General features: G+C 33.6%; 1 annotated feature.

Annotated features, from left to right (window-relative positions):
* Positions 5,268 to 6,467: an enhancer, noted in NCBI's record as "BRD4-independent group 4 enhancer chr18:27081874-27083073 (GRCh37/hg19 assembly coordinates)". NCBI's record gives its function as "activates an origin of replication core promoter dependent on BRD2, P300/CBP, MED14 and CDK7 cofactors, and independent of BRD4, by STARR-seq in HCT116 cells {active_cell/tissue: HCT116}" and the evidence as "EXISTENCE:reporter gene assay evidence [ECO:0000049][PMID:35650434]".

The raw sequence follows: 26,751 nt of genomic DNA, 5'->3' as shown, positions 1-26,751 counted from the left end.
TTAATAATGTATTCAAGCATTATCAAGATTGCAATGGGTAATAGGAGGATGTTTGTGTTCATCTTCAAATAGCAAGTGGTTCAAATTCCTCATTTTACAAATTATAATATTTTCCCATTTAAAATGGGGTATCAGATGCTCTGTGACTGAGGCAAACATTTAGTTAAATGAGAAAAAAAAAAACTAATGAAAAAATGTTTTCAAAAGTGAAGTATTTTAGGCCAGGCGTGATGGCTTACACCTGTAATCCCAGCATTTTGGGAGGCCAAGGCAGGTGGATCTTTTGAAGCCAGGAGTTTGAGACCAGCCTGGTCAACATGGAGAAACTCCGTCTCGAATAAAAATACAGAAATTTGCTAGATGTGGTTGTGCACGCCTGTAGTCCCAACTACTCGGGAGGCTGAAGCAAGAGAATCCCTTGAACCCGGGAGGCAGAGGTTTTAGTGAGCCGAGATTGCGCCGCTTGCACTGCAGCCTGGGGGCAGAGTGAGACTCTGTCAAAAAAAAAAAAAAAAAAAAAAAGAAGTATTTTCTAGAGCCTGCAAGGTTCTGGACATAAGAATGAAACAAAAGATATGTGTACACTATTCACTGGTACTTGTGAAAATGAATCATGACCCTTCCATGATTTCTCTTGAATTGTATAGATTATGAAAGTGATAAATTTTGATGCTATATATATATATAATATTAAAATTCTGAGCCATAAATGTGTGTGTAGAAGTATAGTTTAAATTAGATCTCTCATGAAGCAAATAAAAATCTATCATGAATTCAGAATGGTCATGAGACCCACCTTCTGCTTAAAAAAAATCACAGCCTACATAAGCATTGTATTCAGGGTAAAAACATTATAATGCCTGGAGGGATATTTTTCTTTCATAACTTTATTTCATAAAGACAGTAAGCTGAAAGGATCAGAAAGGAAGAGTGTGTGGTGAAGCTTCAGAAAAAAGTTAAGAAATTCACAACACTTTAAAAAATACTCTGGAGAGAAACAATGTGGCCGGGGAGCCAATTATAAACCGGAATACAAAGGACTTGTTCCACACAGGAGCCACTAAGAAAGCTATCACCCAGAAACAGAAATGCAGGAAACAGAGTATCCATGAGGTGATAACATAAAGCTTCATAACTGAATGAAATATCTCTGAAAGACACAGAAAAAAAGAAAAACAAGGAAAGGCAGCAGGAGAGACTGACCATAAATGCTGATCCATTAAAAAATAAATTTAAAGTGCTGTTAATATGATGCAACATAAACAAGAAAACTATCAAGAAGATAGGAAGGTCATATGATTACCACTGTTTTTGAAAGGATAAAAAAAGGAACACTAACTATTGCATTTTCATTGCATAATTATCATTTATGTGACTATGCAAATGTATAAATATGATAGTCATCAACTCAGGGCCAATTCTTTTTGTTATATCACTCTTTCACTAACCCTCCCCACCATCAATGTATTATTTTGAATTTTGAAACAAATTTCAAATATTGTATCATCTCATTTGTGTGTGTGCCTGTATAATTAAGACAGTTTATTCTATTTTGTGTAGATTTGTAGACCTTGATTCTGGAAAAATTTTATACAATTTGTTTTATATTGTTTAAAAGATTTTTATGTTACCAAGTCAAATCTAAACAATATGCTATATTCAGGGAAACCCAGATTCTCACTCTACCCAGGAGTATTCTGCTTAACAATTTGGTTCTGAGTTTCTGGATTGAGGATTGATGGATATGTGACCCTTTAATATCTGTACTGTCTGATGTAGAAAGTTGAAAATTACAACATAAACTCTGTATCTCAAATACACTTTTCTCTAAATCTCAGATTTATAATAAATGATAGCAAAGTTCTTTCCAGTACTTGTTATATATGCCATTGCACGTACATTATTATTTAATTTTCATAAGAGCCTGGTAGTATAAGAATTATTTGTGTGTAGATGAACAAGAATTCTGAGACAAAGAGATCTTAATTATCTAACACACTCATATATATCAAAATTGGAAATTGATAGTGCTATATAAGAAGGAAACTGAATAAATAAATTACCTACTCTGTGATTGGCTGCATGGAAAACAACAGGTGCAGCACAAAGGAAAAGCTATATTGATAAGCAATATATTTAACTAGGGAATAAGGAGCACAAGGGAATTTCTATCATCAAATTATTACAACAGAATTGAGTCATAATTTGAAGTAACATCAATGAGATGATGTGTTAATCATCTACGTAGCAGTAGCCAAAAAATACAGGGAATTTGGAAAGGAAATAAAATCACAGTGAGACAATGTACAAGTAGTGGTACAAGAGCAAAGACATAAGGTTTCAGAAAATGTGTGTGTGGCCGGGTGCGGTGGCTCACACCTGTAATCCCAGCACTTTGAGATGCCAAGGCAGACGGATCATGAGGTCAGGAGATCGAGACCATCCTGGCTAACATGGTGAAACCATGTCTTTACCAAAAATACAAAAATTAGCTGGGTGTGATGGCACATGCCTGTAATCCCAGCTACTCAGGTGCTTAGGCATGAGAATAGTTTGAACCCAGGAGGCAGAGGTTGAAGTGAGATCGCGCCACTGCACACTCCAGCCTGGCAACACAGCAAGACTCCATCTCAAAAAAAAAAAAAAAAAAAAAAAAAAGAAAGAAAAGAAAAAAGAAAGAAAGAAAAGAAAATGTGCTCTTGTTATTTTTTGTCACATCACTGAAAAGTAAAGGGAAACTGTTGTTACAAAATATTGCATTTGGCACAGGTTAAAAGAAACTGTTCACTTTAAATATATAATAACAAAAATATTTTAATTAATATTATTTTGCCTTATTTTCTCTTATTTAGTTACTTCTCTCATTTAGATATTTGGCCACCTTAGCCCTCTATAACTATTAGCTTTAATTTAATCATTCAAAACTCTTGGCCTTTTTTCATATCTTGGGCTTCCCTTTCTTGCATATGCCTTTTATATGCATGATTGCATTTTTTAAGCCTTCAGAATGTTTAAAGTTTTTTTGAGGAATAACTGACATACAATGAATTGTACATATTTGATGTCTATATTAGATGAATTTGGGCATATGCAAACACTCATGATGCCATCACCACCATGAAGGTAACAGACACAACAACACCTCCTAAACTTTCCTTGTATCCCTTTGATTTTGTTTGTGATAAGAATGCCTACCATGATATCTATTCTCTTAACAAATTTTGAAAAGCACTATACCATATTGTTAACCAGTCACTATGTTATAGATGAGGTCTCTAGGACTTATTTATTTAGCAAAATTAAAACTATAAAGTTTCACTGGACAACATTTGGTTGAAGCCACTGAGTAACAGCTCCACATTTCTCCCACCTCCTGCAACGTCCCTGACAACCCCTGCTGTATTTTCTGCTTCTATAACTTTGACTATTTTAGATACTGCATATAAGTGGGATCATATGGTATTTGTTCTGTGACTGACTTATTTCACTTAACAAAATGTCTGCAAGTTTCATCCATGTTGACACAAATGGTAGGATTTTCTTCCTGTTTAAGGCTGAGTGATATTCCACTGTCTGTATAGAACATGTTTTCTTTGTGCATTTATGGGTCTATGGACACATAAGCTTTTTCCGTATCTTAGCTATTGTGAATAATATTTGCCATGAATATGAGAGTGGAAATATCGCTTCAAGACATCAATTCAAGACTGATATCAATTCTTTTGAATGTATAGCCATAAAAATGATAAATAGACAAGATGGTGGTTCTAATTTTCATTTTCTGAGGAACCCCATACTGTTTTCCTAAGCTGCTGCACTGTTTATATTTTCAATAGTGTACAAAAATTCTAATTTCCCCCACATCTTTGTCAATATATTTTGTGCTTTTTTGTTTATCAGCCATACTAAGAGTTGGGAAGTGATAATCTCATTGTACTTTTGATTTGCATTTCCTTGACAATGATACTGAGCATCCTTTAACATACCTGTTTGCCATTTCTATGTGTTCTTTTTACAGTATTTATTATTATTCTTTCTGGTACTTAAAATATTTTATTTTTTATTCCATTTTTGAGGATTTGTCAGATCCTTCTTAGTTTCCTCTTATCTTACATTTTTAAAATATTTCATTTATCAGAATACGAGTTTCTTTGCATTCACAACGTGTGTATGTGTACATATATAGCGACACATATGTATGTGTTTGTCTGTATATACAATTGCCCTTTCTCATTAAAAAATAAGTTGAGTGTCTATATATTGGCCTTACACTGGTTCATTTCTAATAATCATTGTCTCCTTTTTAAGGTTCATTTTATACACTGACCATTTAATAAGAAATAAAAAGTGGAGGTGTTTAGACATTGGACAAAAGAAGTAAGAACTTGGATTTAGATATAGTATCCTAGGATAGTTGCTCCCAGGTGACTTAGTGTTCACATTGTGCTCTCAGCCATCTGGAGTTTTTACTCCCAAGTGATCAGGAGACTTTGCATGAAGCCATGTGGACTATAAACTGTTCATGTTATGATAATATCCATATCTCTTCCCTGACCTGGATCAGTACCCACTTAATGTAACTGTCACCCTCAGGATCTCCATCTCGCCACCATACTGTTTTCCTGAGCTGCTACACCATTTTACATCCTATTTTAGATGCCAGAGATTGCTTTATCAAAAAGAGGATGATGCACCTGGGGGATCACATTCATCACCATCTTCTCTAACTCTCCACCATTTTTTATCAAACGCAGAGTTAATATGTTTCTTTCTTGTTTTATTTATTTATTTTTACTTATTTACTTAACTAACATGGTCACAAATTTGATAAAGTTTTTATTAGATATTTATATTTTCTCTTTCCTGTGGTGATCATTAGTTTTCTTGACTTTTTATTTTAATAATATATATTTATTTGTAAACTTCTGTGCACATCCATATGTCACAAACATTATACATATTTCCCAATTTATCATTTGCCTTTTAATTTTCATAGTTTTCTTTTTGCTATATTTGTATTAGAAGTTTTTGAAATCAAGTGACAAGTGCTAACATAATAGTTTTCTGTTGTCTTTATGCTTAGGAATGGACTTTTTCATGCTGAGATGGAAAAATTATTTATTATATTAACTTTCACTTCTTTAAAATTTACTTTTTTGCACATAGATTTGGCTTGGATGTTGTTTAAAACCTGTGACAAAGTGTGGTCGCCATTGTCACATTCTCCATATTTTTTCATGTGTCACTGCATTTGAGAGCAATTTTGCAAAAATTATTGCTTGAAATTTGGTTTGTTTCCAAGTATATGGTAAATAGAGTTTTCTTTTAGTATCTTACTACATTTTATTTGTAGTAAGATTACAGAGAAGATAGAATATAGAGTTTTAACTATATTTACCCAGATGTCTATAAGATTAAACATTTTAAATTACTGGTTGGACCTACATAAAATGAACTTGGAAGAAATTAATTTGGAATTAAGCTTTGAGAAGTTTTCGTCTTCAGTCTATGTTGTCAAGACAGGAAACTCTATCTACTTTATATTCAGATTGCACCCTCAGAAAAGGTGGTCTATGTGCAGAATGACTGATTAGAGAGACAGAGCATTCAGCATGCACAGCATGATTGCTTTATTTTGTTGTGATTTTCTACGACTGTGAAAGGCATGACCCCAAAACTAAGTGACTTGTTATTTTTTAAGATTCTGTGTTCCACAATATAGGCAGTTCTTTGCTAATCTTTCTCGTGTCACTTATATGGCTGCATTCTTCCACCAGGACTGAGGGATTCAGCGTGGCCTCAGGCACTTTGCTTCCAGTTGGTGTAAGATGTCAGCTGAGCACCTTGGTTCTGTTCCTGGTGGCTTCTCACCTCCAGTAAGCTAGAGTGGGCTTTCACAACATGGTGTTCTCAGAGGGTGGGAGAGGAAATTATATGGCTTCTTCAATCTTAGATTGTAGACTTTGTATATCATTTTACTCCATTCTATTTATCAAAGCAAGTTATGGGTAAAGCATAGAGTCAAGGGAGGATAATAAATAAACTTCACTTTTTGATGAGAACAATGACAAAGTCAAGATGCAAAAGGGCATGGAACTAGGGAGGCATGATTCATGGGAGGTCATTAACATAACATAAGGCAAAGCCAGACATTTTACTAACAGGCTTAGTCATCATTACATGTAATGATGACGTTCATATTATATCATATTAGTTTTCCTGGATTAAGAAATCTTCTTGCTCTGACAAAGAAGGCTGAGTTTGTGGTTTTAACTTTTGAAATACTTCAGAGATGAAATCATCTTATATTATCAACCAGAAAGTGTCTAAGGGTGATCAGTAAATCAGTCCATGTCACGCCCAAGTCAGTATTATGACAAAATTAGATTAATACTGCAACCGTGTATTCAATGATTACTTAGTGCCAGGTTCTCACTCAGGTAAGCACTTAAAATAATTATCTCTTTAAAATTCACAACATCCCTGTGAGGCCTATATTATTATCCTCCTTTGAGTCTGAAAAATATCAAACCTGGAAAACACTATACAGTCTACTTCTGATTATTCCATACTTAGTAACCAGAGGAACTATACTTTAAGCCTAGGTCTCTTTGATTGTAATGATTGTGCTCTTAAAAACTATGCTATAGTCAACAAATATTTTAAGGGTTTTATTGAAATTTCAAATTCGTACAAGGGTTTTATTTATTCATACATCTTTTTTGGAATGGTAACTTAGTCTGCATTTCACCTGAGAACAACTCATGAAAAAATTACAAAGATTTTTTATAAAAAAAATTCAGTAAACCTGACTCCATAAATTATACAATGCAGTAAAATACTACAGTCCTAAAATGGATTTAGCCCTCTTACAAAGGTAGGCAGATTGCTCAGGGGTATAAAAAGAAAGCCCACAAGTAGATTGTCCCAAATGTAAGAAATTCATATATAATTAACATTGGTTTTAGATGAGTGGAGGAAGAAAGAATTATCCTATAATGTTGAATAATTTGTCCAAGCACAATTTTAAGTGTCTTTTCAAAAAATATAAGCCATATTTTTACATGATAAGACATATCAAAATTAGGCTGGGCATGGTAGGTCGAGCCTGTAATCCCAGCAATTTAGGAGGCCAAGGTGGGAGGGTCGCTGGAGCTCAGGAGTTTGAAACCAGCCTGGGTAACATAGTGAGACCTCATCTCTATTAATTAAAAAATAAAATAATAAAAAAGAACATATCAAAATTAATTTTAAATAAATTAATATTTTAAATAAGCAGAAGTTATAGAAAAATATATTTTAGGTTTTGCTATGGGAAACATCTTTGTAAGCATAAAACCAATTGAGATTCATTCTACTTAAAATGAAAACATTATTAACTTTTGCACATACCGTTATGTTAGAAAATATGTGCCCTGGTTAGCAATCAAAGGAATACAAAAGAAAATTAGGCCCAACTTTAGGCTTGAACTTTGCAGAATTATAGAAGACATTTAAATTTCTATGACTAGCAAGAGAGGGAGAAACAGCAATATAAGAAAAAAGTTGGTGGGAAATTTAAATGATGTACTTTTCTTCACAGTAATTTGACACCGCATGCCAACATTCCCGTTTTTTTTTTTTTTTTTTTTTTTTTTTTTTTGCTTTGGGTAAAAAAGAAAGTTTTTCTAAAAAATTACGGAGATTTTCATGCCTCAAAGATAAGTTTAGATAAATAAATGATTATATTTTCAGAAAGATAACTTACTATTCATCCACTAAATATCCCACTGAAGAATATTTACAATTATAGAAAATGGTGGTCATAAATGATAAAATAAAAATTAGGTATATATCTTAGTAACACAGTTGACTCTTGAACAACACTGTTTTGAACTGTGATAGTCCACTTATACACAGACTTTTAAATATAAAAGTCACACTGGGTGTGCCTGTCTCTCCTGCTCCCCCTTCCATTTCCTCTACCTCTTTTGCCTCTTTCTCCCGGGAAACAGTAAAATCAAACCCTCCTTTTCCTCCTTCTCCTCAGCCCACTCAATGATAAGACAACAAAGATAAAAACCTTTATGAGTATCTGCTTCCACTTAATGAATAGTAAATATATATTATCTCCCTTATGGTTTTTGTAATAACATTTTCTTTTCTCTGACTTACTTTATTATAAGAATACAGTACATAATACATATAACATGCAAAATATGTATTAATCGACTGTTTATGTTATTGGTAAGGCTTTGGTCAACTGTAGTCTATTAGCAGTCAAGTTTTGGGGAAGTCAAAAATCATGTGCAGATTTTCAACTGTGAAACCCCCACATTGTTCAAGGGTCAATTGTAATTTAGTCTTTATTTTGCAAGCAAATAGATACTAATGTTAGAAGAATATACACATGTTATTGTTAATGAATCTATTTTGGTAAAAGTAATTTTTATTTTCTAGTTTTGGTTTGTTGCACTATTCTATATTTTTCAAGTACTATCATGTGTTTATGAATGGGAAATATTGAAAATATTTAACAAACAAAGTGGCACTGGGACAGACTAATAAAATAAAACACCTGAGGCCAGGAGTTTGAAACCAGCCTGGCCAACATGACGAAACCCCATCAATAGCATCACCAATCAGAGTGGGCATTGCTATAAACCAATATTATTAGTGCTATAATGTGACTACTGACTGCAAATCAGCAAGGTGTGTACATTATAATTTTCACTATCCAAAGAAAAAAGCAACTAAAGGTATAAAGTGAAACAGTGCATGGGAAGATACACATAGGATTGGGATCCATGAAGCAGCGAAAGGTGTTTAATCTGCTTAGAATAATGACAAAACACAAAATTTTGATAGCGATAAAATGGAGATAGAGATAAAAATAGAATATTAAAAAACAAAGGGTCTATTGTTAGAAATCCAATATCTAACTAAAATGAGCTTTGGGGAGAGAACGTCAGAAAATGGCGAAAATTATTATAAAATAAATGATAGGTGAAATTTTATTAGAAAGTGAAGAACAATGAGAAGATTGAACATATATCTGAAAAAAATACAAAACCAAATAAACAAAAGAAAAAACCAAGGTAGCATCAATCTTTTCATTGGCAACAAAAGATAAAGGATTCAATAAGTCAATGCCTTCATATCTGAAGGAAAACTTATTTTGAAAAAGAATTCTACACATACTTAAATTATAAGAAAATAAGAAGATTTCCATTGTACTATAATTAAGAAAGCGTGAATCTCCAGACTCTTTCTGAGAAAATTACCTGATGCTCTATTTTAATAAAGAAGTAAATGAAGGCCTGATGCAGTGGCTCATGCCTGTAATTCCAGTACTTTGGGAGACTGAGGTGGGTGGATCGCCTCAGCTCAGAAGTTCAAGCCTAGCCTGGGCAACTTAGTGAAATCCTGTCTCTACCAAACATACAAAAAAAAAATAGCCAGGCTAATTTTTTTTGGTGGTGACGGGCACCTGTAATCCCATCTAGTCAGGAGGCTGAGGCAGGAGGATTGCTTCAGCCTGGGAGGTGGAGGTTGCAGTGAGCCGAGATTGCACCCCTGCACTCCAGCCTGGGCAACAGAGTGAGACCCCACCTCAAAAAAAAAAAAAGTATATGGAAAGCAACAAACAGGAAGATGTAGGATATAAGAAGTGGTAGAAGTAAACCAGGAGGTCAATGAAAAGAAATATTAATGAGGCATCAATTGATCCCAGTGTGACCAGACAATCAGCTCCAAAAACTTCTGCATGAACAAAAAAATGGAGGGATTTTACTGCAACACGTAGAAATAGCTAAAAATTGGCAGTATATTAAGAATATAGTAAAGAAGACATACATTTATTTTTTCAGTGACCACAAGAAGAAAAGAAAAGAAAAAGGAAAGAAGAAAGGAAGAAAGGAAGGGAGAAATAATTTAAAATTCAAAATTTTCAAAGTTCAAAACAAAACAACGTTTAATAATGCCATGATTAAAATATGAAGTTAATGGGAGGCCAAGGCTGGCAGATCACAAGGTCAGGAGATCCAGACCACCCTGGCTAACACAGTGAAACCCTGTCTCTACTAAAAATACAAAAAATTAGCCAGGCGTGGTGGCGGACGCCTGTAGTCCCAGCTACTTGGGAGGCTGAGGCAGGAGAACGGCATGAACCCGGGAGGCAGAGCTTGCAGTGAGCTGAGATCGCGCCACTGCACTCCAGCCTGGGCGACAGAGTGAGACTCCGTCTCAAAAAAAAAAAAAAAAAAAAAAAAATGAAATTAACTAAAAACTAAAAGGTAACATACATACATGCCATTTAAAAAATGTAAATCCGTAGGTTCAAAGGAACCCTGAAATAGAATAGAAATCTTAATATTTGACCTGTAAGGAAAATGTTCTATAAAACTAGGTGCCTTTATTTAAAGAGTAGTTTATATGTTCATAAAAATACAATGATGTTCATTGGTTTCAACTTTTAGACTCAAACTACGGGTAGAGCATATGCAATTTAACATAGTGAGCACAGTGCAAATGCAACCAGCCTTTGAAACATAGACAAAGGTAGAGCTGAAAAAACCGGGAGGTGGCAGAACAGAATCCAAGTAAAGGTTTTAGACATTAAAATGTTCACTTTATGTGTGGGTATCAAAACTGATGGAAAATGGTGATTTAAAAATATTATCTAAAGTTACAGCCATGTGCGGTGGCTCATGCCTGTAATCCCAGCACTTTAGGAGGCCAAGGCAGGCGGATCACCTGAGGTCAAGAGTTATAAACCAGCCCGGCCAACATCGCGAAACCCCATCTCTACTAAAAATAACAAAAAAAAAAAAAAGAAAAAAATTTTTGCCCGGAGTGGTGGCGGTCACCTGTGATCCCAGCTACTCAGGAAGCTGAGGCACGAGAATCTTAAACCCTGGTGTGGGAGGTTGCATTGAGCCGTGATGGCGCCAGTGCACTCCAGTCTGGGCAACAGTGTGAATCCGTGTCAATAAAAAAAATGAAATACAAAAAATAAAAAGTTACATATAAAAATAGTAGAAGAATTAAAATCAATTATACGAACAAATATTTCAGAAGGGATTGAGTGGAAGTAGAAGTTGAAGAATGGGAATTAAACCTTTACCTTTCCAAACTGAACATCCATATAGGAATTTGGAAAAGTAATTATATAATAAGCTTTCTTTTATAATTAAAAGGGTAACTGTCAATGGAACTAAAATGAGAATGAACTAAAATGTTCATCTCTAAGAAGTGTGACTGAAAATGAGATGAGTGAAGTTAAGAGCTCCTTCAGTATAAGACCCTAAAATTTAATGTTTTGTCACATATAGACATTAAATTGATAAAGGTTTAAAAATAAATTTTAGATTGGAAGCACATGAAGGCACTTGATATCTTGATTTGATGCTTGGTTTCAGAGTTTCAAGTACTTATACAAATAATAATTGGTCTCTTACATTAAAGCAAATGATCTTATTTTAAAATTAAAACCATTTATCCTGCCCTATGCTATTTTGTTACTTTTCACTATAGTTGACAATGTCAAATGTCTTTACTCTGATCTACTTTAACAAACAGGAGAAGGTACAATACATATTGAGGAGCTCTTGGAGTAAAACAGAATTCCTTAAAAAAAATACAGTTGCATTGACATCCCTTTATTTCCCATATTATCTTTGCACAACATAAAGACAAGTTAAAATTTACTCACCCATTTTTGAAAAAAAAAAACATTCAGTCTATGAAGAAACAGGTGATTTACAATTAATGTACAACAATGGTGTATATGAAGTTATATGCATTCATACACAACGTGTATTTCTCCTGGAAAGCAAAAGTCTGTACAAAATAAAAATAGAGCATAATCAAATAGGTCTCTCCAAAAATGTAATTGTGCAATGGTTTGAAAGTACTTGCCAATAATAGTTCTCATTCTGGACATTTATTTCAACATCCAACTGTATGTCTTCACCCTTCTCAATAGACTTAATAGGCACTTTTTTTCCACACACCGTTCTGCAATTAAATTACAACCATAAATTGTCAGTATAGGGCAAAATTTCCCAAGGGCATCAATAAGTGCATAATTGAATTTCAGTGTAATGGCCAAAATGGCCAAATATAAAAATAATTAGCCAAATAAAGGAGCAATTAAATTCCATGCCTGTAAAAATGCAGGTGCAAAATATTATGCTGCATCTAAAACTCATGAAAAATTTGGCTCTTTGTATCAAATTAAATTGATAGTCAGTGATTTAGTATAGCACTGAAGAGTATTATAGGAGAAATATAAACATGAAATATAAATTTCTTCCCAATAGAGACAAACCTAGAGTATGTTCATCACAACCACATTTGAAGAATTCTATACTAAGTCTCAAAATAATTATGTCAATTGAAATACTTCCTCATAAAGATATGGTTTAAAAAATTGCCTGCTTAGGAGAGATGGCAGAAGCAATTATGCACCTAAAATTGGAAATCTGATACAAATAATCTTTTATTATATTATCATAAAATCTGAAGTCTGCATTATATAAACACAGATTATTATCCCATTAGCCAGACCTTCCTGGATTGGTGAACATGACACAGGAATTGTTAATGCTGATTGTAACAAAGACTTGCACATATTTTATAGAACTAAGACTATTTTTAATTCAGTAAAATAGCTGCCTTCAAATGTTATTTACAAAATAGAAGCTGAAGTACTTATTTACAAATTTCAGACATTTAGGAAATATTGTCTGAGATTTTCTGGGCACAATTGAGTATGCAAATGCTCTTCCAAATAATTAGTGAAATGTACAATACATACTAATCTTAGGCCATGGCTTTTGTTGTCTTAAATAATGATAGACCTAAATAATACAACTATTTTCATTTGCAATTGAGATAACATTAAAAAATGCAAATTACCTAAATAAAGATTTTACAATTTGACCTAGAATTATCTAGGTTCTTAGAACTGTTTTGGGATCTGCTGTTTGCTTATTATACAACTGTTTATCATATTAAACACACTAAAATCTCTCAATAAATAATGGATAATCTTACTGCAGATAATCCTGGTCCATATTGTTTTATATATCAACAAATAAAATTAAATTGCTAAATAATCAGCTCAATAACTGCTGTGAGCTGAGAACTCCTGTTCTCAAAATCAGCACAAGCTAGTCTATTTATCTGACAAAAGGAGAGTTCTTGACCATACAGGAATACATAGACTCTATTTTTGTTTGTGGAAGAGAAAAGAACATTAGGATACTAGTTAGTAGTTTCTTTTTCTAGCAAGGCCAATAGTGTGAAATAAGAATATTCTATTATATTTAGTAAACACCATTGACAGATTATATGTCATAAAATATAAATCATAAAACTTTCCATGAAAAACATCAATATACTCTATATATCAATCTATTGACAGTGAGTATAATAATGATCATTTTAAAAGTAGATAATAATAATAATTTCTAGATTTCTATAAAATGATTTACATTTTCAAATGAAGAACTGAGACATAGAGAAGTAATGACACTTGGAAATGACAAACAGTTAGTAAACGGCAAAGGTGACTGGGAAGACCAGCTCCCAATCCTGTGAAAAGCCTGAACTGGATTTCAAGCATTTTTTATGAAAAATAATAAAGGCCACTTAAAACATAATTTTTCCCTATCAGAAATGCCACAAATATTCTTAACATTTTTTAAAAGTTTTGCCTGTCATGTTACTATTTTGACTGAAGAGATTATACTGCAATTTGATGTTTTAATAAAGCTCCAATTTAACAGTTACAGGAAACTAGCAAGCACACAATAACAAACCCAGCAGGGAGCAGGTCTTTCTTCTTAATCATTATTCCTTTGAAAGTCAGTAGAAGAGAACTGAATTTAAGAAAGATATTTTTACCAAATTAAGTCATATGCTGATAAAAGTACTTTCTTTTTTATACTGAGCATTTTATATTTGGAAAATTAGTGGGATTTATCTTCCAATCTAAGATATTATACTTGTTCAGTTTCATCCCATGATTTGTGCCTCTTATTTATGTCACAGTTTGCTTTTGTGTTGCTTTTTGTATTCTTTTGATTTATGTTTTCTTACCATTCAAAAGTAATACATTCTTAGATTCTTCCATTTTGGCAATCTCAATAGTAAGAGTTTCCAGGAATTTTAAGTGTTTAATTCCTGCTTTTTCTTTTACAATAGTATTAGGTCACAAGTTTTGAATTCTCACCTTTTACATGGCCATTTTTCAAGATTAGTTAAATATATATCCTGCATCTCTGACCTTATTAATTCTTTTTTTTTTTTTTTTTGAGACTGAGTCTTACTCTGTTGCCCAGACTGGAGTGCAGTAGCACTGTCTCGGCTCACTGAGACCTCCATCTCCTGGTTTCAAGCAATTCTCCTGACTCAGCCTCCCCAGTAGCTGGAACTACAGGCACATGCCCCCACGCCTGGCTAATTTTTGTATTTTTAGTAGAGATGGGGTTTCACCATGGTGGCCTGGCTGGTCTTGAACTACTGGCCTCAAATGATCTGCACGCCTCGGACTCCAAAAGTGCTGGGATTACAGGTGTGAGCCACAGCATCGGGCCATGTGAATTCTTCCTTGTTATTAGTTGTTTGAGGAAATAAATAATCAAACAAAAGAAAAAGCCTACGTTTGGCTTATGGATGGTTTTTCATGCTATGATGGCACTCTCTGGAAATTGACTGCTATAGCGTCAAGGTCCCACTCAGGAATGTCCCTAAAAGACAAACGGTAAGATAAATCTTTCCAGTAGGCACATGTTTGCAGAGTACATTTGTTTTTCACTCTGACTGAATGGAGGTTATGAGCAAAGGTCCTGCATTAAGTTGTGGGTAGTGACCAACTCTATGGTCAGTGGTCAGGGACCTAAAAAGAACAAAATTAGAAGTTGTTGTTGTTGTTTTCCTGTTTGCATAAATAAATGGACAAGAGTAATGTAAGTTGACTTCTTGGAATGGGTACAGAATATGTAAATATTTATGCCTAACAGAAATGCTTACAAAGTGCTACAAAGAAAATTAGAAATAATCAGGAGTACACTATGACCCACCATTTGACTGTTATTCAGCTTTCTTATCTAACATGACAAGCCTTGTCCAACACAGCCATATAAAAAAAAATGGTAGTAGGTGTGGAGGTTGCATACATGTTTAATATTTAGGAGTTCCTTCTCTGGTTTGAATGCATACTCTCCAAAATAATGGTGTTGCTAATGGGATAGGATGAAGAGGTGGGACTTTCACAAGAGGTGATTAGGCCATGAGGGCAGCATCCACCTTAATGGCATTAAGCCTATTTTAAAGGGTATTTCTCGTAGTGTTCACTTACTTCACCCTCCTGCCTTCTGCTATGTAAAGATGCAGCAGGAAGGCCTCAGCAGACCAAATGTGTGAGTGCATTGATCTTGGACTTCCCAGCCTCTAGAATTATGAAAAATAAATTTCTGTTTTTTATAAATTACCCAGTCTCAGGTATTTTGTTATGACAGCACAAATGGACTAAGGTATTCCCTATCATGAGATGACCACCACTTCAATGTGTATCTATTTTCCCAAGAGCAGAGATTAAGTCTATGCTATGGCACAGTTTACCACAGACACCAGTAAGTTACCTAGAGGCAGATTGCTTATATTTGACCTTTTGAATCACAGACAGTGTTTTTTCCCAAATGGAAAAGATACTCATTCTGAACATCTTGCTTCCTGGAATTGTATGTCAGTCACCATCTATGGACTTCTACCATGTATTTACCATTATGATATCATAGAAAGTATTGCTTCTGTCCAAGAAAATTAGTTTTCATTAAAATACTGTACTGGTGGCTTCAAACATATAAAATTTATTGCCTTTAAGATATACTTTATTATCTAAAAGCTGTTGGCCTTCATAAAATGTTGCAATTGCCTATTGAATACTCAGTTTAGGTTCTAGCTAGGAGACTAGCCTGTGGGTTTGGAATACTCTTCTGTAAGATGATGTATGGGCTCTGAAACATTGACTACATTTTGATTCTGGTTTTTTGTTGTTGTTGTTGTTGTTGCCAGAATACATAGGTCTTGGAATCAAGTGGTGGATATATAAGAAAAATATCACTGCTGTTCATCAAGAATTTGGGCACATGGTCAGATTGTGCATTCTATCTCTTTTGATCTTTGGAAGAACCACGTTGCATTCACAATGAAATAAAAATTGAAATGATATGTTTTAGTTCCAAGCTGACATTGAGGAGCCAGGTTGTCATAGCACTCTTTCGGTTCTGTGTTATCATCAGCAGTAATTGAGATGATGCCTGCCCCCTTAGTCTGTTTCCCAGAGTGATGATGAGAGAACAGAGCTTCAGCCAATCTGTGACAGACATGTAAAAGGAGTAAAAAGGAAACCTTTGTTGTTTTAAACCACTGAGCAACTGAGATTTACAGGTTGGTACCACATTATTACCTGGATTATCTGAGAGATTAAAATACATTGTAGCGATGAGTAGGCACTGAGAGAAAGAGAGAGAGAGAAAGAGAGAACATGTGGTATAATTTTATATATATATATATAATCACCAATTATATATGTGTTTATATTATATGTACATATTTATATGTTTATGTGTTCTGTATAACTATATATGTTTATATATGTATATGCACATACACACACATATATACACACATACATACATACATACAATTTCCAACACTATCATGATTGTTTGTTACGCAGCAAGTAAACAATTTTCTGTGACTGAAAGGATGGTGTCCCTTTTAATGCAGCTGTGAATCATTTGAAAATATTGCTTCTGATAATTTTGAATTCAATTATGTACAAAATGAGGTTATACTCTAAGGCAAAAAGTCATATAACAGAATGGTATTACTGTGTGTTGACTGCTTTTACCTGAACTTGAAAATGTAGTATAAAAGAGAGATGAACTCAGAAATTTCGGGTAGTGTACAAGCAGGAATAAATTGGAATAGAGAAAGTTCATAAATTTTGAAACCCGTAGTTCTAGAAGAGAATTCTTTTTTCAGTGTCAACTGCTAAAATATAAATCTAAGAAAGTCTTCAGTTTCAAAGGCAAGTTGAAACTAAACCTCATGACAAGGTTCAAATCAAGAGGATGTGAGTATGTGATGTATTAATGTGTCCTAGATAAAAGCCCTAACTAAGAGTAAACCACTAATTAAATTCATTAAATTGGCCAAAATGTCTTTAAAAAGGGATTAAAGATGTCATTCTCTCACCAAAACCTGAAAGGATAAATGTGTCTGGAAATAAATCAAGAAAAAGAAACAAAAATTAAATTAATTAATTAAATAGCAAGAGTAAGAAATTTAACTGGAAAAGAATGTGACCATAGTTATTGGTACATGGAGATGACTACAATAAAATATATGAGGCTAATAAAATTTTTGACTGCCAAACCCCTACCATCCTAGATCACAAGACACAGCAACACTTGAGACTTGGCGCAAGCCATGGGCTGACAACCTTCTCAGGCAGGAAGAGAAATGAGATGTCAGCTCAACACCAGAAAAAGGCATGGCGTAGAGAAAGTGAAATTTATGAGTTTATATCACATCTTGACTTAGGTCATACCAAGAAATTAAAATACATTGTAATAACAAGTAGATATTGACCCCAAAAGGATTTTATTTATTGATTTATTCATTTTTTAGAGTCAGGGTCTTCTGCTGTTGCCCAAGCCGGAGAGCAGTGGCCTGACCATAGCTCACTGTAGCCTTGAACTCCTGAGCTCCAGCAATCCTCCTGCCTCAGCCTCTCAAGTACCTAAGATTACAAGTGTGTGACACGATGCCAAGCTAATTTTTACAATTCTTCTTCTTTTTTTTTTTTTGTAGAGACAGGGTCTTTCTATGTTTCCTGGGCTTGTCTCGGTCTCCTAGCCTCAAGTGATTCTCCTGCTTCGGCCTCCCAAAGTGCTGGCATTGCAGATGTGAGCCACTGGCACCTAGCCCAGACATAATACTTTTATAAATGTAAATGTAAGTAGATGTAAATAAATAAATACAGACACACACACGAACAATATGTCAGACCTTCTTCAGTGCTCCTCATGGGAGTCCATATCCTAGTTATCCATAGAGGCCGTGTGTGGGAAAGTAACTTGTCTTTTTAGTTCTCTGAATCCCAAAGGTAATCTGATAAAAATCTGGGTCAGAGATGTTTTTGCAACTATTCCTGATGGAAAGACTATTCAAAATTGTTCAAAAATGCCAGCTCTTGAGACTGATACTGTGAACAAATAAGAATTTGTGGTAGGATTATTTGAGGAAGTAGTGAGTGTATTTTGCATGTGGAAGGAACAAGCAATCCAATATTTGGTTATCAGGGGGGCAGACTGTGATAGTCCTGATTAATCCCATATTTCTAGTTCATCTCTTATTTACACGGTAGGATTATACTTTCCTGACTCCTTAGGAATAATATATGATTTTCTTTCATCTCTAAAATGTGAACAAAAGTTACATATTGTCACTTCCAGGCAGAAGATTTAAGAATCCGTCTTAGCATAGCGTTATCTTCTTTCCCTTAGCCACTGCATGTATTAATATAACAGGGAGTAACTGCTCTGCCAGCCTGGATACCAGAAGGAGGTCTGCATGGAGGAGAACCCCAAGCCACTTTATGATGGTTATTGAAAATAAGAAAGAAATGAGCATGTGTTGTTTTAAAACACTTATATTTGGGGTTCCATTGTTTCCCCGGTATCCTAGCTACTTAACTGAAACAAAGTGGCAATGCCTTACTTGTTACACCTTATAAGCCACTCATAAAATATTTGATTCACAGCACTTTAACCCTGGTCTGATGGTTCAGAGGTCTTCTATCCCACTGCTTCCTGTAGGAGCACAACAACAGTTTCCTTGGGATGGAAGCTAAAGCGGCCAACTGGTTATATTAGGCTCCATACAATTGTGGACAAACACAGAAAAGGTTCACTGTACTGGCTGAGGACCTTAATCCTAAAGCTGTGAAAAAATCAGTTTCCTTCATCACAGTGGAGACAAAAAGATCTACGCCTGAAACTTTAAGAATTTTCTGGAAATTCTCTTACGGTTTCCATGTTCAGTGAAAAGTGGTTGAAAGACGACGTCAAACTAAAAAATCAAGACCACTAAAAATTTATATTTTTCAAAGTGCAGATTTAGATCACCTCAAGAGATCAAAAACTATGACCAACTTTAGATACCCCCTTAGCATAAAGGGAACATGGAAAGAGAGGTATTGTTGCAAACAGCTGTAAGAATTAACTTGCTTACTAGTTTCTAGTTACAGAAATGAGGACTGTGGAAGGCATGTATTTTGGCTTTCTTCCTTTTTCACATTTATTTGTATATAATAATCATTTTTTTACTTTCTACTTTTCTACTACTTTATAAAATAAGTGTTGGTTATGGTTAACAGTTTATTTTTTAGGGCCCAGAATATTTAGGTTACTGGATAAGAAAAGAACCAACATCACTCAAAGATAGATGCAGTGACTGATGTACCCTTAGTTAATCTAATTTGGTGGAAGAATTAGAGCATTTTAATGCATGACGAATAATTGCATCATGCTAGACAAACGCAAAATATCTCTAGTGTTATTGTAAGCAAATATAAGTGGCATCATGCATAAGATTGCTTAGTAGCCCAAAATGTGGAATGTGCCAGTGATTTGCCTGTTGGCTTTCAGTCTCAAGTTTTTTTCTACCCTCTCCTTTCTATTGCTAAGGACAAGAAGACTAATAATATTACTTCTTGGATTTGTGCTCAGATGTCAAGTGGCAGTTCTAAAAGCAAAAGCTGCAGCAATTTATGTAACACAACTTTATTCTTTTTATTCCTCATACCCTAAAGCAATTACAGATATTTGAACAACATCATGTTTTTCATTTTACTCCTTCCACATTTCAGCACTTTCATAACCAATCCTTTAAACTGAAGCTTCTTCATTTAAACTCCGAGTAACTAAATACTTGTTTTCCTCCTGGAACATTAAACAATACACAATATAGATCATATTTTCACTCTAAATCAGGAATGAGGCAAGGACTATCCAGTATCACTACTTCTTGTCAACACTAACTAGAAGTTTTTACTAACGGAGTAAGACAAAAAGTTAAAAAAGAGAAATAAATGAAACTGTCATTTTTCAAAAATAATATGATTATTTATGTGTATTATATACACAGAAGCTAAGGAGGATATAGGAAATATTATTAATAAGGTATTTTAACAAATCTGAATATTAGATCAATTTACAAAATCAATTACAAGGCTATAATCAGAAAGAGAAAGCCTACCTTTCTATAAACTGCATAGAAATAAATCTGAGATAGTTATCTGAACTTTGAAGAGAAAGTTATAAAACTTTATTTTAAAAATGTAGGGATATTTAATTAATTGGTATATTAGTATCCTATTGCTGCTGTAACCAATTACCACAAACTTAGCGGCCTATGAAACAAATTTATTCTCTTGCAGCTCAGAAGACGAGTCTATAAAAGGAGTTTCATCAGGCTCAAATCAAGGTGTGCACAGGATGGTGTTGCTTCTGGGGTATCTGGGGGAAGAATTCCTTCCACGCCCTTTCTAGGTTACAAAGGCTGCTTGTATTCCTTGTATCACAGTCCCTAATCAGAAATTCCATCACTGTGATTTCTGTTTCAGTCATCACCTCTCTTTCTCTCATGCCCCTGCCTCTTTTTGTCAATTATAACTTGTGATTACTTTGGGCTCATTCTGATAATTCTGGATGCTATAGTTTGAATGGGTACTGCAAACTTCATGTGTTGAAAACAATTTTCAATGCAACAATGTTGGGAAGTGGTATGTTTAATGGCATCATAAAGAGGGTTTGCAGGACACGGTTCTTCTCTTCCACTCTTCTGCCAGGTGAGGACGTAGTGTTCCTCGCCTCTGGAGGATGCGGCATTCAAGGCATCATTTTGGAAGCAGAGACTGAAACCTAAGCTGCCAGCACCTTGACCTTGGACTTTTCAGCTTCCAGAACTGTGAGAAACAAATTTCTACTCTTTATAAATGACCCAGTCTGTGGTACTATAATACAACAGCACAAATGGACTAAGACACAGGGTAATCTCCCCAACTTGAGAAACTTAACCTATTCACACCAGCAGGTGTCTTTTGCCATATAATATATTCACAGTTTCCAGAAGTTAAGATTTGGATACCTTCTAGTGGTCTGCTATACATGGAGGATGCCTATGTTCAAAAATAAAAGGAGTAAAGATGGTAAACATGCTATGTCTCTCTACCTAATAATAATGACAATAACAATTATACGTTCCAATCAAATTCTCATTAAAATTTTACTAGAAACAGGACAAGCTATTTTAACTTAAATGTAAAGGAGCAAAACACTATCAATAGCAAAGATAAGTGATGAATATTATAATGGGTAGAAAAACTTACTTGTTATGAAGTGAGACTTTTTTTTTTTGAGAACAGTAGCATTTAAGAGAGTGTGGCATTAGACCTGTGCAAAAATTACTGCACCAGTTAGTTTTAAAATACAGAAAAAATAAAACTAAATCCTAATATATCATACAAAATTCAATTATAGAAAATTAAAGGCATCCCTTTAAAGCTTTGAGAAGAAAATATATCTTAAACAATAATTTCTCAAGCAAGAAATAAAAAACACGAACTATTAAGGAAAATATTGATTTTGCCACAATGAAAGTTGTAACTTCTGTACATCCGCCATTATCTTAAATGCTTTAAGGGAGTAAAGACAAGCCAGAGATTATAAGAAGATATTGGCATAGGTAGATCTAAAAAAATCCATAGCAACAAGATTATATAAAACTCCTCTATATCGAAAAGAAAACAAACAATGAAAAATGAGTCAAGCACCTTAATGTATATTGAGAGACAAATTAACCTGAAAAACCAAAAATATATTTGTAGTCTTCCTTATAAATAGTAACATGCAAATTAAACACAAAATGAAGTATAATCTGCCACCTATTAGTGAAGCAAAATATTAAAAAATCTGACAAAAGTTGAAAATGTTGTAGAGCAATAGGGACAATTGTTTTCTATAATTAGGAGAATTAATTAAAACAATCACTTTCAGTAACAATTTGACTTACTGAGTAAATGCAAAACATACATTCCATAAGATACAACAATTTCCTCTGAGATATATATTCTTGAGGAATGCACTTATACACAAGGAGACATGTAAAATAATGTTAAATACAATATTGCTTGTAAAACCTTTAAACATGGAAGCAAACTGTATGACTTCAGGAGAATGGGTAAACATATTATGCTATATTTTGGCCCGAGCACATGTAGTATTGTAAGGGGTTGTATCATTCTATTTTTTGTTTCATATTATGCTTGCCAACACCATAAATAACAAGTCTTGTAAATTTTAAATAATTGTTAAACTACATGTTTTGAATGGCTCACCAGAACAACAATAGAATATAATAAGTGATTTCAACAGAAACCCAGACTCTCAATTTTTATTATTTAAGCCCAAAGACAATGGGCTTAAAAGTATTTTTTAAGATAGGAAACATGGAAACAAAATTCAGAATTTCTGATATTTAAAAAATCTAAAAATAAGAGAATAATTCAATTTAATTGAAGAAAATGTACCACAACTGAAGAATGTAGGCACCGTCATTGGAAAAAAAAACATATCACATGAGAATAGAATGACCAGAAAAAATAAGCACACCTTACTCAGAAGCAATGTGTGGACAAAGGGAAAAGCTAAAATTTCTAGTCTAGAAAACACGAGATAATATCTCTAATACTTGTGATAGAAGTTTCATATTTTCTTTCTGAGCAGCAACAGAGTAAACAAGGATGAAGAAGGGTTTTCAATGCTTTAAGAAAGGAAAAGAGAAATGAAGCTTTGTCAGAACATTTATCATCTTGAAACAGTAATATGAAGTCAAATTGTGAAATGTACATTGAAAAAGCAAAACTGAAATCTACAAGGACATGTGATTTAAGAAGCAGTTGTGAACAATCACACACACCCCACACACCAGAAGCTTATATGAGCTGAGCAACAGAATGTCTTTATACAAAATAACAGAATTAGGAACAGAAAATTAGTACTAAAGCCTTCGGAAAAGAGTGTTAATGAATAGGTTCTAAAGCTTAAGCTTCACTAGCTTCATGAAAATAAAAACTTCTGGGCAAGAAACTTAGAACAATGATTGCACAGTGAGTAAAGCATTAGAAGCAATACCTTCAAAGTCAAAAACATAAATAGGATATCTATTAACCACAGTCGCATTCAGAATGGTACTGACTGTTTCAGCCAATGAAGAGGAAAACACAAATTGAAAACAAAATTTTCATGCGTATACAAAACAGGAGAGTAACTATCATTAACCTTAGATGATGCGTTTGTGTATGTGATCAAATATATAGAAAACTCATTAGAATCAAGGGGCAAATTATTAGATATAAGAAGAACAATCAACAAGATGGTCAGGTACAAGATAAATAATTAAAATCAGTAATTTTCCTGCTCACTAGCAATAACTGTGTAGAAAATAGGAGAAAAATGACATTCAGAATGATATGAAATGGTTTATAGTAAACCCAAAAATAACTGAGCAACATATGTTTGTAAAACTTTTCTGAAGGAGACACCAGAAATTAAGTAACTATATATGTTATCCTATGTTGCTATTTAGAAACTTTCAATGTTACAATTAATCTACACCTTTCAAACTATGAATATAATGTGATAATGAAAATCTCAATAGGATTTTTAATGTAAATCAATACAGAAAATGGGATATAAATCTGGAAAAGATGATATAGATATTTTGGCATTGGAAGCTTTTTTTTTTAAAGTACCCGAAATTCACAAAGGAGAAAAATAAAGAAAAAAAGTGAACAATTTGTTAAGATGTGCTTCATTACAATGTGTGCCATCACTACCTCTGTCTAGTGTCAAAACACTTTCATCACTCTAAAATAAAAACCCATACATAGTAAATTGTTATCCCCTGTTCTTTTCTTCCCATCCCCCGAGGAACTACCAATCTGCTTTCTGCCTCTATGGATTTACCTATTCTAAATATCTCATATAAACAGGATCTGACCTTCTGTGTCTAGTTTCTTTCACTTAGCATGTTTCAAGGTTTATCCACATTGTAAAATATATCATTACTTAGTTCCTTTTTATGCCTGAAGAGTGTCCCATTGTGCATATACATATATATATGTGTGTGTGTGTGTGTGTATGTGTGTGTATATATATGACATTTTGCTTATCTATTCATATAGTGATGGATGTTTGAGTTGTTTCTACTTTTTAGTTGGAATATGAATATTTGGAATATGAACATGCGCCCACATGTATTTCAATCTGTTTTAAAATCTTCGGGGTATATACCTGGCATTAGAAGTTTTTAAAGAATGTCAGAGGTTTCTCCACTAGATGATAAAATGTATTGTAAAACTATGGCACTGGGGCAGTGATAAATAAACAAACTGATGAAAATAGAGACAACTAGATCAGAACCACATCTATGTTTGGTTATAATATATGTAGATGATATTTAATTTTGTGAAATAATAAAGAAACTTTTAATATAATAACAAAAATGGGAAAACGGAGAAAATAAACCTAATTTAAATGCCTATTCATTAGAAAAATTACAAACAAAAAACCCAAATATTTCAAATAAATAACTGCAAAAGCCAAATTATAAAGTATAGAAAGAGAATGTATGATTATTCACTTAAAATGTTGAGGTAGAATAAGATATATTTATAATAACATTAAATATGTATATATGGAGAGAGAAAGAGAGCTTTTAGAAAGTAAAGGTCTTTTAAAACAAAAACTAGTATACTAAAACAAAAAATTAAACATTAATAGATTTAATCATATTATTTTAAAAATCACATATATGATAAAATATACCAGGCAGAGTGCAAATATTAGGTTGGTGCAAAAGTAATCGCAGGTTTTGCCATTAGTTTCAATGGCAAAAGCCGCGATTACTTTTGCACCAACCTAATATAAATGATGACTTGGGAGAAAACATCTGTGATATATCTGGATTAATATCTACAAAACATGGAGAACTCCAATGAATCACTAGGATCAATGACAATAGAAAATTAAGGAAAGTTTATTTACAGTATTTGCACTCTTTGTGAAAATATATAAGGATACAAAATACCAGAGGTCATTTTTGTAGTATTTATTTACATGTAAAGTGAAGTAGAGTTTCCATTCAGCAATTAATTTTTAGTAAACTAACCATGAAGACTTTCCCATGTCCATATGTTGCAGAGAAGCAACATTTTTGACAGATAATTTTCCACGTAAACGTGTAAGTTGCTTTTCACTAAATTATATTGTGTAAAACACAGGCAGCAAAAATTAGATTTTATATATTTGGCTAGAGATATTTTATTTAAATATATACTTGCATATATAAATACATATGTATATTTGTACAGATATATTTGTACAAACATATATATTTGTACAGATGCTCCTTGAACTACCACAAGGTTATGTCCTGAGAGACTTACATTAAATTGAAAATATCACAAGTCTAAAGTGCATTTTCCATTTACAACATTTAAAAATTACAATGGTTTTATTCTAAGGTAACCTTGCTATGAGTCGAGGAGCTTTAGAAATGCATACCACCTTTTCACTACCCTAAAATCCAAAACTCATTAAGTAGAATGGTTAAATCATGTCTGTCTATATATATGAGACTGAAGATCTATTCCAAATGGTCAAACACCTCCTTTTAATAAGAAAATAGCACTGTTTGTATTTTTAAAATTATAAATAATTCATTCATTTTTATAAAGAGCTTAATTTGTTTGTCCTTAATCATATTTTTACATTTATACCCTTCACATGTATAGATTTTTAAAATAAAGTGTTTTTAAATTATGCTATTTCCAAATCAGTGCTCGGTCCAAATTTCTGAAAGAAAAATAAAATGTGAAACAAGTGTGTTAACTCTTTTCTATTCCTCATTAAATCTTTTTGATAAGTCCTATATCCGTGAATTTGAATTCAAGGAGTTCCCAAGAAATCTTTCTCTGAGATTTGCAATAAGATGTTGAGAAAAGGGAGACGAACAGGGATTTGGCTCCTATGTGTGTTTTGACCATCTAAGTTCCATTTTTATATTTTTATGTAGTCTTAAAAATAAACTTGCCAGGCACAGTGTCTCACACCTATAATCTCAGCACTTTTGGAGACTGAGGCAGGAGGATCACCTGAACTCAGAAGTTCGGGACCAGCCTGGGCAACATAGAGAGACCTTATCTCCACAGATAATTCAAAAATTAGCCAGGTGTGGTGGCATGCACCTGTGGTCCCAGCTACTTGGTAGGCTGTGGCAGAGGATTCCTTGACCATGAGCCCCGACCATGCCAATGCACTACAGCCGGGCAACAGAGCAAGATGCTGTCACAAAAATAAATAAATAAAATCTTGCATTTGAACAAAGGGTGTCAAGTTGAAAGAAAATGAGAGAGGAAGGACAATGAAGAAAGAGAGAGGAAGGGGAGAGAGAAAAGAGATAGAGAAATACTTCTCTTGAATGAATTCATAAATGGAGAGATTTACTTCTCATTGCTCTGATAATTGAAGAATTAATATTAATGTGATATGTATCTGTGAGACTGGAGTTAATGAATATGATGGATGTAAGAAATCTTTAGACACATTTTCCAATTTAAGTGATTATAAC

The sequence above is a fragment of the Homo sapiens genome, chromosome 18, assembly GCF_000001405.40.
Source record: "Homo sapiens chromosome 18, GRCh38.p14 Primary Assembly".
Taxonomy (NCBI): Eukaryota; Metazoa; Chordata; class Mammalia; order Primates; family Hominidae; genus Homo; species Homo sapiens.
This window is presented reverse-complemented; position numbering and strand designations above follow the sequence as displayed.